The sequence below is a fragment of the Homo sapiens genome, chromosome 20 (genome assembly GCF_000001405.40).
Source record: "Homo sapiens chromosome 20, GRCh38.p14 Primary Assembly".
NCBI lineage: Eukaryota > Metazoa > Chordata > Mammalia > Primates > Hominidae > Homo > Homo sapiens.
The window spans coordinates 32,233,997-32,250,495 of NC_000020.11; the positions used below are offsets into that span (position 1 = coordinate 32,233,997).

Here is a 16,499-nt window from a genome sequence, read left to right on the forward strand (position 1 = left end):
ACATAGCAAGACTCCTCCTCTAAAAAAATTGTTTTAAATTAACCACGTGTGGTGGTGCACACTTGTAGTCCCAGCTACTTGGGAGGCTGAGGTGGGAGATTGCTTGAGCCTGGGAGGTTAAGACCCACCTGGGCAGTATAGCAAAAGCCCATCTCAAAAAATTAATAAAATAAAAGAGTCTGGTCGGTATTTTAATGGGTGTTGAAGCAGCATTCCAGGCAGAGGGAACAGCACAAGTGAAGACATGAAGGTGTGAATGGTGTGTTTGGAGCTGAGGCTCCTGGAGCCCGGAAGGGTGGGGTGGGCCTAGGCAGCAGCTGGGCAATGCTTCCCTCAGACACTGAACCACATCTTCCTCTTCTCTGCCCCTCCTTTTGTGTCTGTAACTGCAGCTCAGGGAATAAGGTTGGGGGTGTGGATGGCAGGCCTTGGCCTGTAGCCACCCCAGCTTATATGCTCTGTGCTTCTTCCTGCAGGTGAAGGTGGTGAGCCTGAAGCCTGAGGTGGCCCAGGTCGACCTGTACATCCTCGGCCAAGCCGACCACTTTATTGGCAACTGTGTCTCCTCCTTCACTGCCTTTGTGAAGCGGGAGCGGGACCTCCAGGGGAGGCCGTCTTCTTTCTTCGGCATGGACAGGCCCCCTAAGCTGCGGGACGAGTTCTGATTCTGGCCGGAGCACCAGACCCTCTGATCCTGGAGGGACCAGAGTCTGAGCTGGTCCTTCCAGCCAGGCCTGGCAGCCAGAGGTGCTCCGGGATTGCAAACTCCTCTTCTCACCTGCCAAAGATGGAGAAGAGTGCCAGGGACCCCTCAAGGAGGGAGACGCTCCATATCCCAGGGCATAGGACTTGCAGGTTCCTAGGAGCAGGAGCATCTCCCATCGCACGTGCTTTCTGCTCTTCTGGGAATTTCTCACACTGGCAAAGCAGTCCAGCCTCCGTCTTCTGGTCCACTCTGCTCTGAGCAGCCTGGGATGCTGAACTCTTCAGAGAGATTTTTTTATAGAGAGATTTCTATAATTTTGATACAAGGTCATGACTATCCTAGAACTCTCTGTGGTTTTTGAAAATCATTGAATTCTATTAATGTAGGTACCTAAAGTGACCTTAACTGAATGTGGATGAGGCTGGGGCTGGTGTGGGTCTTTTGGCTGCTTTTCAAGGTGTCCCCCAATGTGGCCCTCAAGAGCCATCCCCACTGCCTGGCCAGAGCCATTGTTGTCCCCTACTTCCTAGGCCATTTCTGGGGCTTGGGGGATGAATGCTGTCCTGTGCTGTAAACACTATGCAAATGGAAGTTATCGGTTGTGGTGCTGTGCAGCGCTCTGTGGGCGACTAAGTGCCACTCACGCAGCATGTTCCTGGCAAGGAGCACATACCATCAAGCCACACTATCATGGTATTGTTCTCACAGTCTTTTGGTGGTTGATGGCCACTGCAAACCTGGCACCATCAGATCTCTTCTGATCTCTTGCCCCAGTGGGGCCTGGTTGGTAGAATGTTGGCATTCGGTTGATATCCAAAGCCTGTTCTCCCAGCCGTCCTCCTGCAGCTGGAGCCTTCAGGCCGTATTCTCACGAGGGAACGTTTGCCAAGGCTCTGACCTCACAGAAGATGCCCAGGGCCCAGAAGCCATCAGAATTATCAGTGGAGAAGCACCTTTTGACTCTTCCCTTCCAATGTAATCTCTGCCAACACCATGAGGCTTAAGGTGCTCTAAGTCATGAGTGTTTTGGTCTCAAATGCTGCAGTTTTAATAATCTGTGACTCCTGAGAGCCCATGGTTTTTTGACCTTGTGGTTCTAAAATTCCTTGTCTGACCCCTGTAGATCTTTTCCTTGCCATGTCACCTCCCTTGGCCTTTGATCCTGGAAAGGTGGCAGAGCCTCCACTGAGCCAGGCCCAGAGCTCCTTGCAGTGCCTTCTTCCTTGTTTACCTGTGGGAGGAAACACTTTTTTTGTCAGGGGCAGCCTGGTTCAGAGCTCAGAGGTCACACTGTATCAAAGATCTCAAACAGCAAAGTCAGCATTTGCTGTATAGAGCTGCCACCCAACTCTAAGCAGGAGAAACTGTACAGAAAGGGCTTTGCTATTTTTCCCTTTTGGGAAAACAATGAAGTGTTTTAAGTCCTGGGTGGACTGAGAGATGGTTTGCCTGTCCAGACTTGCTCTCAAGCCTCATCCAGAGAAGGAGCTGCAGATGAGGGAGCCCGTACACTCCCTGCCACCACTAGGTTGTAAGCCTGTAGCTGGCTGGCTGATTTCATTTTGGAATTCATTTGCCATCCACAGCCTTACACTAGGCACACACTTTAGAGTCTGGGGCTCCAGTGGGGCCCGCCTAATTTTTTTTCCCCCCAAGACAGGGCCTTGCTCTGTCTCCCAGGCTGGAGTGCAGTGGCATGATCATGGCTTACTGCAGCCTTGATCTCCCAGGCTCAAGCGATCCTTCTGCCTCAGCCTCTCTGGTAGCTGAGACTGCATGCCCAGCTCCAAATCACCTTGATTCATATCAGCAGTAATAATCACTTGTGTTCTGAAAGAAAGGGCACCAGAAGTTCTAGCAAAATTCAGTTGTGTTCTGTGAGCTAGCACTTTTTCCTCTGACCCAATTTTCTTACCTATAAAATGGTGATAAAAACCGACAGGTTGTTCAAAGGCCCAGATCAGCTAAAGCATGTATATAAGAGCACGTTGTAAACTTGAAAGAGACAAAGGCACAAATGTGGCTGTTGATTAATTTGACTGCTTCTCGTTGCTCGTCACCTCCATGCCAGGCACTGTGCTTGCTAATTGCTTTATGGGGGCATTCTCTTATTTATTCCCCAGCCCTGGGAAATAGGAGCTGTCATTATCCTTCTCTTTCTGCACAAGGAAAAATTAATGCCCTGAGAATTGTCATAATTTTCCCAAGGCTGCCCAGCTGGTGGTGTTAAGCCAGAATTTGACCTCCCAGAGCCAGTTTCCATTAGCTGCCATGCTCTGCTGCCTCTAATTCACAGAATGCACTTTCTACCCTGTGTGCCATGGAGACCTCCTATGGAAAAATGATCAGCCACCTTACCTTCTACTGGGTACCTGCTGTGAGTCTGCCTATGCCAGAAGGATTAAGGAGGGGAGGTTACCCAAGAAACAAAGCCTACATGCCGCTTACAGCCCCCGTTGGATGGTTGCTCAGTACAACAGTCTTGCATTCAGCAGGTGTTTGTTCATCACCTACTATGTGTCAGGCTCTATGCTAGGTACTGGGGATACAGGAGAGAATCAAGCGTAAAGTCTTTGTTCTCAAGGAATTTGCATTCTAGAAAGTAGAAGATGTAATAAATGTACTGTGGGACATGTTAATAAGTGCTATAAAGAAATATAAAGGGTTTGGGAGCAAAAAGAGGGAGTGGATCTATTTTAGATGAGCCCAGGTAAGACCTCTCTGAAGAGCTGTCATGAAGGAGGGAGGGAGCACATTCCTGGCAGAGAAAACAGCACGTGCAAAGGCCCCGAGACTGGAGTGTGTTCCTGAAGAGCAGCCAGGAGGCCAGCATGGCTGGAGAGGCAGGCATAGGCAGGGAACCGAGCAGCAGGTCAGAGCAGGCGAGCTGACATTCTGCAGCCTGGACGGCCATGGCAGGAAGCTTTTAGTTGGAGAGATACAGGAAGCCTCCTAGGGTTCTGAGCAGAAGAGGGGCATGAGCTGATTCACATTCTGAAGGACCTCTCTAGCTGGCCAGTGCTGAGGAGGTTGGAGAGAGAAAGGGTGAAAGCAGAGAGACCAGTGCAGGGCTGTTAACAGGGTTGCAGGCGAGAGACTGGGGTGCTGGGCTCCCCTAGACTAGGACTCCAGTGCCCTCCTCTCCCAAGAGACAAAGGCCATTGCATTGAAGGAGGTGGGAAATGATTAGATTCTGAACATATGTAATTATTTTTCAGTCTTTTTCAAAGATACAAATATTTACATAGTTTTAATCATGTAATATATACAATTTAATGTCCTAGTGTTTTACTTAATAGTGTATCATGTTTTCCCTGTTGGTATGTAGCCTGGATAAATGCTCTTAATTATAAAAAATTCTGTCGAGGAGTGTTCCATAGTTTATTGTTTTCCTATTATGAGAATTTAGGCCAAGTGTGGTGGCTCATGCCTGTAATCCCAGCACTTTGCGAGGCCGAGGTGGGCAGATCACTTGAGGTGAGGAGTTCAAGACCAGCCTGGCCAACATGGTGAATTATCTCTACTAAAAATACAAAAAAATAATAATAATAGCCAGGCGTGGTGGCACATGCCTGTATTCCCAGCTGCTTGGGAGGCTGAGGCAGGAGAATGGCTTGAACCTGGGAGGTGGAGGTTGCAGTGAGCCGAGATGGTGCCACTGCATTCCAGCCTGGGCAACAGAGCGAGACTCCATCTCAAAAAAAAGGAGACTTCATGTGCCCCCAATTTTTCACTATTGTTATTTGAAAAAATATTTTTATTTGTAAGAGTTTTTCTTTATTTAAAATGTTCATTAATAAAGTTGTTGGACGGGAAGCAAAAAAAAAAAGTTGTTTAAGATAAATTCCCAGAAGTGAATTTGTTAGATCAAACACTTAAAACTTTTTGTTATGGAAGAATTCAAATATAAATAAAAAATTGTGAGTAATAAAATGAACTCACAGTTTCAACAATGACCCACATTTTACCAGTCTAGTTGCATTGACTCTCCCACACCCAAGTCTGTTTGCTAGAGTCTTCAAGAAAACCTAAATGTGTTTTGAAAGAAGAGCCAACAGGATTTGCTGACATGCTGAATGTGGACTGGGAAGGAAAGAGGAGCCCAGGGTGCTCCAAGATTTAGGGCCCAGGCACCAGGGAGTTGTCCCTGACTTGCAGAGTGACCTTGAAGCAAATCCCTTCACCTCCGCATTCCTCACCTCAGCATTACAGGTGCTAATGGTCTAGGCAGTGCTTCCCAAAGGGTGGTCTTCAGAGGTTCCTTCCAGGGCTGGTTGATATGGCAGATTCCCAGGAGCCACCCTGAACCTGAGAATCAGAATGTCTCGGGGGTAGTGCCCAGGAATCTGCCTTTTCACAAGCACCTGCAAGTGATTTGGATGCCCAGTGGCCCAAGACCTGAAACTGTGGTCGTCAGACCAGCGGCATCAGCATCACCTGGGGGAACTTGCTAGAAATGCAGAATCCCAGGCCCCCGCCCAGAACCACTGAGTCAGGATCTCTGGGGACGCAGCCCAGGAATCTCTTAAGCTCTCTTGGGGCTAAAACTTGAGCAACACTGATCTGAAGGAAGTGGGGATCTCACTGTGTGGTCATTCAGCCCACGGTAATGGAAGACCTCTGCAGCCCCTCCCTGGCAAGCCTCACGGGTTCCACCAGGCATGGTCAACAAGGTGGCTTTAGGAACTGCCTGCTGCCCAGTTTGTACTGACCTACATCTCCTATTGTATATTTGTAGGGGCTTTACAACCAGATGATCAAATCTCATTGTTTTACGGTCAGCCCAAATTTATATATAAGAAAAGGAAGGGAAGCCTGGGCGCAGTGGCTCACTCCCATCATCCTAGCATTTTGGGAGGTTGACACAGGCCAATCGCTTGAGCCCAGGAGTTCGAGACCAGTCTGGGTAACATAGGGAAACCCCGTCTCTACAAAAAAATGCAAAAATTAGCCAGGCATGTGGCATGCATCTGTAGTCCCAGCTACTCGGGAGGCTGAGGTGGGAGGATCACTTGAGCCCAGGAGGAGGTCGAGGCTACAGTGAGCTGTGATGGCACCACTGCACTCCAGCCTGGACATTGGAGTGGGACCCTGTCTCAAAAGAGAGGAAAAAAAAAAGGGAATTCAATTTTTCAAAATTAAAAGGGAATTCCATTTTTCAAAATCTGCATCTGATTGGATAGAGAAATGGAGAAGCTGGTGTTCAAAGGAACCAAAGCTGGAAACACTGTCCTGAAACATTGTAGATCTCCAGACATTTGGAAGGGAGGGGAGAGAGAATAAGAAAATAAAGAAGAAAGAGGAGAAAGGACAGAGGGAGGAAGAAAGAGTTGAGTTCTCATTTCTATTTTCTGTTCAAAGAAGCTCAGCAAATAATCTATTAATAGTAACTACAACAAAAATAATAATAAGCTTTCACTGGCCTGAAAATAAAGATCCTTCCTCTCCTCAGTTCTCCTTCTGTCCTTAGTGGAATTGACAGAAAAAACCCATAGCCTGAAGGCAAATCCTGCACTCTGGATTATGTTGTCAAAGTGAATTCAAATTCTTGCTTGAAACCTGGTTTATTTCAGGGTTGAGACCTTTCCCTTGAAATAACATTATTTAAGGGCAAGCAGGTTTGGTTTGTTTTTACATCTAATCCTTTATTGATCATCAGCCCAGGATGCCAAGCATAACCAGGTAAACAGTGAGAATGGAAGAAACAGAAGGCATTTCCCAGAAACCCCATTCCTCAAGTGCAGTGACTCAGAACAATGCCCACCTGGGGGCAGCACCCCGGGGAGGATACCCCACCCCTCTGAAAAATCCACCTTTGCAAAAAAATTGGCAACACATTGATCCATTTGATATTCATCTCCTCCAGTGTGGGGGATGTTTTCCCCTCTCTGACACTGCACAAGCTGGTTTAGGAGGTCCTGGGCAGGCACTGGCAGAAGGCAAGAATTATCTTTTCAGTTTTTCTCAATCCTGCTAACAATGCCCAAAGAGAAAGTCTCAGTTCAGTGCTATTGTGTCATTAACTCCTCTCTACTGCTTGCTAATAATCTGTCCTTGTAACAGAGTAGACCTCAGAGTCAGACAATCTTAGTTTTCTGGAATTTAGTAACACTATTACTAAGTAAATAAATGAATTATTTATTTATTTATTTATTTATTTATTGAGACAGGTTCTCACTCTTGCCCAGGATGGAGTACAGTGGCTTGATCTTGGCTCACTGCAGCCTCAACCTCCCAGGCTCAAGCCATTCTTTCACCTCAGCCTCCCAAGCAGCTGGGATCACAGGCACGCACCACTGCACCAGCTAACTTTTGTATTTTTAGTACAGATGGGGTTTCGCTGTGTTGCCCAGGCTGGTCTCGAACTCCTGGCCTCAAGGGATCCTCCTGCCTCAGCTTCCCAAAGTGCTGGGATTACAGTGAGCCACCGTGCCCTGCCATTTTATTTATTTTTGATCCTTTGTACTTGTGTTTTTCTGTTTAAAGATGTGATTTAAAGTTTCCTTTTAAGAAACTTAGGTTACAAAAAGTGAGTTGGTTCAGAGAAAAAGTATTAAGTAGATGGTGTGGCATGAATTATGAAGATAAAGTTTGGGAGATCCTTACTCGGCTGGCCCCTGAAGATAGCTCAAAACAATACCCAAGGGGCTTTTGTGAGAGAAACTCTCCTCACTTTTCACACCTCCGCACTATTGTCTAAGCTTTTGCTCTGCTTAAAACATATCGTAAATGTTTCAAGATTCTATGAAATTCTCCTTTTCTGAGCTCCCATAGAACCTTGAAATTGTAATAATAAGTAACATGGGCTGGGCACAGTGGCCCACGCCTGTAATCCCAGCAGTTTGGGAGGCTGAGGCAGGTGGATCGCTTGAGCCCAGGAGTTCGAGACCACCCTGAGCAACAAAGTGAGACCCGCCCCCCCCTCCATCTCTACCAAAAGTCAAAAAATTAGCCAGGCATGGTGGCAAGTGCCTATGGTTCCAGCTACTCAGGAGGCTGAGGTGGGAGGATCACTTGAGCCCAAGAGGTTACAGTGAGCCATGTTTGTGCCACTGCACTCCAGCCTGGGACAGAGGGAGACCCTGTCTCAGATAATAAGTAACATGTATTAAATGACTAACATATGTCATTTACCATGTGCTACAGTGTTCTAAGCACTTTACTTCAATTAACTCGCCTCATTAGAGAATATCCCTAAGAGGCTGCTTTTCTTATTATCTCCATGTTACAGATAAGAGCACTGAGAAGCAGTGAGGTGAAGCACCCAGCTTAAGGTTGTAGAGCCTGTGAGTGGAAGAGCTGGGACTTGGGCCCTAGAAGCATGGCACACGAGTCAGTGCCCCAAAGCCACGCATTGTGCTGCCTCTGATGTCATGTTACCCATCAGACCAAATTATTTGCTAACTTGTTTCCCCAGCTGGACCAGAAGTGTCCCCCAGGAATAGGGACCATGCCTGATGCATCTCCCAACATCAGCGCCTAGCCCAGTGCTTGGTTTATAAAAGTGTCCTAAATTTATGGCCGGGCATGGTGGCTCACGCCTGTAATCCCAGCACTTTGGGAGGCCGAGGTGGGCGGATCACCTGAGGTCAAGAGTTCAAGACCAGCCTGGCCACCGTGGGGAAACTCTGTCTCTACTAAAAATACAAAAATTAGGCCAGGCGTGGTGGCTCACGCCTGTAATCCCTGCACTTTGGAAGGCCAAGGCGGGCAGATCACCTGAGGTCGGGAGTTCGAGACTAGCCTGACCAACATGGAGAAACCCCGTCTCCACTAAAAATACAAAATTAGCTGGGCGTGGTAGTGAATGCCTGTAATCCCAGCTATTTGGGAAGGCTGAGGCAGGAGAATCGCTTGAATCTGGGAGGTGGAGGTTGCGGTGAGCCGAGATCACGCCATTGCACTCCAACCTGGGCAACAAGAGCGAAACTCCATCTCAAAAAAATAAAAAAAGAAAATACAAAAATTAGCCAGGCATGGTGGCAGGCCCTGTAATCCCAGCTACTTGGGAGGCTGAGGCAGGAGAATTGCTTGAACCTGGGAGGCAGAGGTTACAGTAAGCCAGGATCACGCCACTGCACTCCAGCCTGGGCAACAGAGCAAGACTCTCTCAAAAAAAAAAAAAAAAAAGAATATATATATATATATATATATATTCACTCATTCAACCCATATATGTGTATGTGTACATATACGTCTGGCATCATGGAGGGTTCGTGGAGGAGATAGGAGTCGAGTCAAATGCTGGGTATGATTTTAACAGCCACACATGGGAGATAAGAAAAGGAATTATAGATGGAGGGATTGCGTGAACAAAGGTGCTGACCCAGGTGTTGAGAGCTAAGTCTGTGGGGAGCAGCAAGCAGTGCTGGCCATAGGTTTAGGGAGGTGGAGACAAGAGATGAGGCAGCATCAGGAGGTTTGAGCCATGTGAGAAGGCTCTGGAATGCCAAACTAAGAGGTTTGGTCCTTACCCTTGGGGATCTTAACCAGAAGTTGTCTCAGGATTAGAGGCAAATACATGGGGTAAGGGTACGAGCAGGGGCTTTGCAGGGCTCACTAAGGGCCCTGAGGCATCATAGGAGTGAAAGGGTCCTCATAGTGCCCCTTGAGGGCAATGCCAAAAGGCAGGACTTTGGCTGCATAAATTAGTCAAAAATGTAATGACAATAAATTCATGTACAGGGTGAAAAATTCAAAAAGTTCAAAATAATATACCTGTAGTGTGAAAAATAAGTGCCCCCTTGCTAGCGCAAACCCCACTCCAGAGGCAAACACTGCTCAAAGTTTCATGGCCAGGTGTGGTGGCTCACGCCTGTAATCCCAGCACTTTAGGAGGTGGAGGCAGGTGGATCACTTGAGATCAGGAGTTGGAGATCAGCCTGGCCAAAATGGCAAAACCCAGTCTCTACTAAAAGTACAAAAGTCTTGGATTTGTGCACTTTGATTTCTGTCCTGGTGCTACAGTGTGCTGGCTATACACAGTCTGGGAGACTTGGCTTCAAATCCCAGCCCAGTCACTAACTCAAGTCATTGTGGGACTCAAACAAGTCACTAGCCTGTCTGAACCTCAGTTTTTGCATCTACAATACAGAAATAGGCCTAGCGTGGTGGCTCATGCCTTTAATCCCAGTATTTTGGGAGGCTGAGTCAGGAGAATCACTTGAGACCAAGAAATCAAGAACAGCCTGAGCAATATGGCAAAACTCCCATCAATACAAAATAAAAATTAAAAATTTAGCCAGGTGTGGTGCTGTGTGCCTGTGGTCCCAGCTACTTAGGTGGCTGAGGCAGGAGGATCACTTGAGCCCAGGAGGCAGATGCTGTAGTGAGCTGTGATGGTGCTACCGCACTCCAGCCTGGGCAACAGAGCAAGACTGCATCTAAAAAAAAAATACACACGCACACACACACACAGATATAGATATAGATATAGATATAGATAGATATAAATAATATTGCCACAGTACCTGATACATAGTAGATGGTTGATAATAAAAGTGTGTTATTATTTAGTGAAATTGCATAACCTTTCTGAAATTCAGATTCTTCAGCTAGGAACCAGCAGTTGGCATGAGGCTGTCAGAGAGATTCCAAAGTTCATGAAAATGTTTTGCAAGTCTTAGGAGGGCCTCAAATATGAAGGATTAAGCATTATGGGGGCTCTGGCAACCCTGCCAGGCATTGCCTGCTATAAGTTTCCTTTACATCTCCCTCTGGCTTTTAAATGTTGTGTTTGCTTACAGTGAGACCATTTTCTCCCAGCTGCTGCCGGTAAGCGAACAGGAACTCTGAGCACTTTGCCTGCTGGGGAGATGGGCTGGCAGGAGAAACCCCCTCCCACCTCCAAGGGGTTAGGCTTCTGGGGAGTAGGGCTTGGAGGGAGTTAAGGACCCAGGCCAATGATGTAGGGGCAGAGAATGGGGAGAGGCAGAGAACTGCCTCTTTGCAACAGGCCCTGGCCTTCCGTGAACTCTTGCCTCCTCTGCAACTGTAAAATGAGGGCTTTGGAACTGAGTCACCCTTTGGAAAGGGCATTAGGTTTGGAGTGTAAGGGCGCGGGTGCAAGGCCTAGCTTTAAAATTAATCCGGAGTGTAATTATGAGACTCAGTGTTCTCATCTGTAAAATGAGAATACAAATTAAGCCATTGAACCATTATGAATTAAGTCTTCCTCCCATGGTACTGGCATTCTAGTGGGGAAGAAACAGATAAGAAATAAATAACGAAACATTAGCTGGGGCCAGGCTTATGTCTGTAATCTCAGCACTTTGGGAGGCCAAGGTGGAAGGATGGCTTGAGCCCAAGAGTTGAGACCAGCCTGGCAATGTGAGAAAACCCTGTCTCTACCAAAAGAAAGAAAAAAAAAAGAACAAACGAAAATTAGCCAGGCATAATGGCACATGCCTGTAGTCCTGTAAAACCAAAGATGAGGCCAGGTGCAGTGAGTCACGCCTGTAATCCCAGCACTTTAGGAGGCTGAGGTGAGAGGATCACTTGAGCCCAGGAGGTGGAGGTTGTAGTAAGCCGTGATGGCACCATTGTACTCCAGCCTGGGCGACAGAGCAAGACCCTGTCTCAAAAAACAAAACAACAAAAAAACTCAGCCACACTCTCATCATCCAATACTTAACCAGTTTTTTTTCTTTTCTTTTTTTTTTTTTTTTTTTTGAGATAGAGTCTCACTCCATCACCCAGGCTGGAGTGCAGTGGCACAATCTCGGCTCACTGCAACCTCTGCCTCCCAGGTTCAACTGATTCTCATGCCTCAGCCTCCCAAGTAGCTGGAGTTACAGGCATGTGCCACCACGCCTGGCTAATTTTTATATTTTTAATAGAGATGGATTTTCACCATGTTGGCCAGGCTGGTCTCCAACTCCTGGCCTCAGGTGATCTGCCCGCCTTGAGCTCCCAAAGTGCGGGGATTACAGGCGTGAACCACTGTGCCCAGCCCAATTAACCACTTTTATTTTTTAAACAATTAGCTGGGGCCCGGCACGGTGGTCATGCCTGTAATCCCAGCACTTTGGGAGGCCAAGGCAGGCGGATCACTTGAGGTCAGGAGCTTGAGACCAACCTGGCCAACATGGTGAAACCCCATCTCTACTAAAACTACAAAAATTAGCCGGGTGTGATGGTGTGTGCCTGTAATCCCAGCTGCTCGAGAGGCTGAGGCAGGAGAATCACCTGAATCTGGGAGGTGGAGGTTGCAGTGAGGTGAGATTGTGCCACTACACTCCAGCCTAGGCAACAGAGCAAGACTCCGTCGCAAAATAAGTAAATAAATAAAAATAAAAAATTAGCCGGGCACAGTGACTCACGCCTATAATCCCAGCACTTTGGGAGGCTGAGGCTGGCAGATCATGAGGTCAAGAGATTGAGACCATCCTGGACAACATGGTGAAACCCCGTCTCTACTAAAAATACAGAAAAGTTAGCTGGGTGTGGTAGTGCGTGCCTGTACTCCCAGCTACTCAGGAGGCTAAGGCAGGATAATTGCTTGAACCTGGGAGGCAGAGGTAGCAGTGAGCCGAGACTGCGCCACTGCACTCCAGCCTGGCAACAGAGTGAGACTCTGTCCAAAAAAAAAAAAAAAAAAAATTAGCCGGGCATAGTGGTGTACACCTGTGGTCCCAGGTACATGGGAGGCTGAGCTGGGAGGATTGCTTGAGCCTAGGAGGTCAAGGCTGCAGTGAGCCATGATTGTGCCACTGCATTCCAGCCTGGTGACAGAGACCACATCTCAAAGAAAAAGAAAGTATGAGGCGGTAACGAAGACTATGAATGAGAATGAAATAGAGTAAAGAGAAAGAGAGTAACTGGGGTGGTCAGGGGAGGCCTCTGTGTTCAGGTCACATTTGAGCAGAGGCCTGAAGGAGGTGAGTGAGTGAGCCATATGGGTATCTGGGGAAGACCATTTCAGGTAGAAGGAACAGCAAGTGCAGAAGTCCTGAAAGGGAGATGATTTTGGCCATAGGGAGCGGGGCAGGAGGTGAGGTATGACAGTGAGAGAGGCCAGATCATAATGGACCTCACCTTTGGTTTTTCATGGGTTCTGCCTTTGTTTTTGTTTTTGTTTTGAGATTTTTATTTATTTACTTATTTTGTGACGGAGTCTTGCTCTGTTGCCTAGGCTGGAGTGTGGTGGCACGATCTCAGCTCACTGCAACCTCCACCTCCCAGATTCAGGCGATTCTCCTGAATCTCCCACTCTGTCATCAAGGCTGGAATGCAGGGGTACAATCATGGCCCACTACAGCCTCAACCTCCAAGACTCACACGATCCTCCCACCTTAGTCTCCCAAGTAGCTGGGACTACAGGCATGCATGAGCATGCCTAGCTAATTTTTAAATTTTTGTAGAGATGAGGTCTCACTATGTTGCCCCGACTGGTCTCGAACTCATGGGTTCAAGTGATCCTCCTGCCTCAGCCTCTCAAAATGCTGGAATTACAGACGTGACTCACTGTACCCAGCCTCACCTTTGGTTTTTTGTTTGTTTGTTTGTTTGTTTGTTTTTTTGGGATGGAGTTTCACTTTTGTTGCCCAGGCTGGAGTGCAATGGTGCGATCTCGGCTCACCGCAACCTCCACCTCCTGGGTTCAAGCAATTCTCCTGCCTCAGACTCCTGAGTAGCTGGGATTACAGACATGCGCCACCATGCCTGGCTAATTTTGTATTTTTAAGTAGAGACGGGGTTTCACCATGTTGGTCAGGCTGGCCTCGAACTTCCGACCTCAGGTGATCCGCCTGCCTCGGCCTCCCAAAGTGCTGGGATTACAGGCGTGAGCCATCGCCTTTGGTTTTATGTGAGTGACCTGAGAAACCATTGGAAGGTTTTGAGCAGAGGGGAGTGACATATCTGACTTAGGTTTTTTTTTTTTTTTTTGAGACAGAGTCTTGCTCTGTCACCCAGGCTGGAGTGCAGCGGCGCCATCTGGGCTCACTGCAAGCTCCGCCTCCTGGGATCATGCCATTCTCCTTTCTCAGCCTCCCCAGCAGCTGGGACTACAGGCGCACACTGCCACGCCTGGCTAATTTTTTTGTATTTTTAATAGAGACGGGGTTTCACCGTGTTAGCCAGGATGTTCTCGATCTCCTGACCTCGTGATCCGCCTGCCTCGGCCTCCCAAGGTGCTGGGATTACAGGTGTGAGCCACCGTGCCTGGCCTCTGACTTAGGTTTTATATTAGTTATCCGTTGCTGTATAACAAATAACCCCCAAATGTAGTGTCTTAAAACAAGAATCATTTATTATCTTTCAGTTTTTGTGGGTCAGAAATTTGGAAGTAGTTTGGCTGAGCAGTTCTGGCTCAGGATCTCTCATGAGATTGTAGTCAAATATTGGTCAGGGCTACAGTCATCTGAAGGCTTGACTGTGTCTAGAGGCTTCGTTTCCAAGGTGGCTCACTCTTATGGCTGGCAAGTTGGGGCTGACTATTGGCCGGAGGCCTCTGTTCCTCTCCATGGGGTTGCTGGAAGGTCTTTGCAACATCGTGGCTGTCTACCCCCAGAGAGTGAGTCAAGACACCAAGACAGAAGCTGCAATGTCTTTTTTTTTTGAGACACAGTCTCTCTGTGTCACCCAGGCTGGAATGCAGTGGAATGATCACAGTTCACTGCAGCCTTGACCTCCTGGGCTCAAGCAGTCCTCCCACCTCAGCCTCCACAGTAGCTGGGACTACAGGCACGTACCACCATGCCCGGCTAATTTTTTTTTTTTCCAGACATAGTCTTGCTCTATTGCCAGGCTGGAGTACAGTGGCACGTTCTCGGCTCACGGCAACCTCTGCCTCCCAGGTTCAACAGCTTCTCTTGCCTCAGGCTCCTCAGTAGCTGGGACTACAGGCACACGCCACCATGCCCAGGTAATTTTTTATATTTTTAGTAGAGACAGGGTTTCGCCATGTTGGCCAGGATGGTCTCGATCTCTTGACCTAGTGATTCACCCGCCTTGGCCTCCCAAAGTGCTGGGATTACAGGTGTGAGCCACCGCGCCTGGCCCTGGCTAATTAAAAAAAAAAAAAAATCTGGGGTAGAGGCCGGGCATGGTGGCTCACGCCTGTAATCCTAGCAGTTTGGGAGGCTGAGGTGGGCAGATTACCTGAGGTCGGGAGTTCAAGACCATCCTGGCTAACATGGTGAAACCCTGTCTCTACTAAAAATACAAAAAATTAGCCAGGTGTGGTGGCACGCACCTGTAATCCCAGCTACTCTGGAGGCTGAGGCAGGAGAATCACTTGAACTCGGGAGGCGGAGGTTGCTGTGAGCCAAGATCAGACCACTGCACTCCAGCCTGGGCTACAGAGCAAGACTTTGTCTCAAAAAAAAAAAAAAAAAAAAAGGTTTTTGGTAGAGATGGGATCTCAATATGTGGTCTAGGCTAGTCTCGAACTCCTGGCCTCAAATGATCCTCCAGCCTCAGCCTCCCAACCGGGATTTATAGGCATGAGCCGCCATGTCTTGCCATTTTTCTTGTGACCAAGAAAAATGGCACAAGCCTGTGTGCAGGCTAGCCCTGTTCAATATGAGAAGGGCGTAAGTACAAGGAGGAGGTGAGGTCATTGTGGAACATCTTAGAGGCAGGCTACCAAAAGTTTTTTATTTGTTTGTTTTAATTAACATACAATGAAATTTACCCTTTTCTTTCTTAATTTTGACGTAAAGATGTATAGGTCTATGAATGTTAACATATGAGTATATTTGCGTAACCACTACCACAAACAGGATATAGAAGAGTTCCATCACCCCTCAAAAAACCCTCGTGTTCCCCTTTGTAGTGACACACTCCTCCTACCTCAACCTGTGGTAACTGCAGATCCATCATGATAGTTTTGTCTTTTTTTTTTTTGAGACAGAGTTTCGCTTTTGTTGCCCAGGCTGGAGTGCAGTGGCACGGTCTCAGCTCACTGCAGCTTCTGCCTCCTGGGTTTAATTGATTGTCCTGCCTCAGCCTCCCAGTTAGCTGGGATTACAGGCATGCAACACTATGCCCAGCTAATTTTGTATTTTTAGTAGAGATGGGGTTTCACCATGTTGGTCAGGCTGGTCTCGAACTCCTGACCTCAAGTGATCCGCCCGCCTCAGCCTCCCAAAGTGCTGGGATTATAGGCATGATCCACCACGCCCGGCTGATAGTTTTGTCTTTTAGAAAACGTCATAGCAATGAAATCATTACTATGTAACCTTTTGAAACTGGCGTCTTTCACTCAGAATAATGCCTTTGAGATTCATCTAAGTTGTTGCAGGAATCAGTAATTCATTTCTTTTTATTGCTGAATTATGTTCCAGTGTATGGATAGGTCACAGTTTATCAATTTACCCATTGAAGGGCTTGTTTCCAATCTGGGGAAATTGTGAGTAGAGCTGTGTCTTGGTCCATTTGGGCTGCTATACCAAAGCATCATGGACTAAGAGGCTTATAAACAACAGAAATTTCTTGTTTACAGCTTTTTTTTTTTTTTTTTTGAGGCAGAGTCTCGCTCTGTCGCCCAGGCTGGAGTGCAGTGGCGTGATCTTGGCTCACTGCAACCTCCGCCTCCCAGGTTCATGCCATTCTCCTGCCTCAGCCTCCCGAGTAGCTGGGACTACAGGTGCCCGCCACCACCCCTGGCTAATTTTTAGTAGAGATGTGGTTTCACTGTGTTAGCCAGGATGGTCTCAATCTCCTGACCTCGTGATCCACCCGCCTCGGCCTCCCAAAGTGCTGGGATTACAGGCGTGAGCCACCGCGCCCCACCAGGGATTAGGATTTCAACAAATGAATTTTCTTTTTTTAATTTCTTGTCACCTAG

The 16,499-nt window shown here is 47.7% G+C and overlaps 1 protein-coding gene and 1 non-coding gene across 3 annotated transcripts in view; both read left to right on the forward strand.

Annotated features, from left to right (window-relative positions):
* Nucleotides 1-4,662, forward strand: part of POFUT1 (protein O-fucosyltransferase 1) — a 30,779-nt gene extending 26,117 nt beyond the window's left edge. For both annotated transcript variants that reach the window (NM_015352.2, XM_047440079.1), the window contains one exon: nucleotides 477-4,662. In NM_015352.2, coding sequence (NP_056167.1) covers nucleotides 477-665 — 189 coding nt within the window. In that variant the 3' untranslated portion in view covers nucleotides 666-4,662. The remainder of the gene's footprint in view (nucleotides 1-476) is intronic.
* On the forward strand, nucleotides 3,799-3,851 carry MIR1825 (microRNA 1825). Its single transcript, NR_031726.1, has one exon. It is a non-coding gene; the product is annotated as a microRNA 1825 (primary transcript).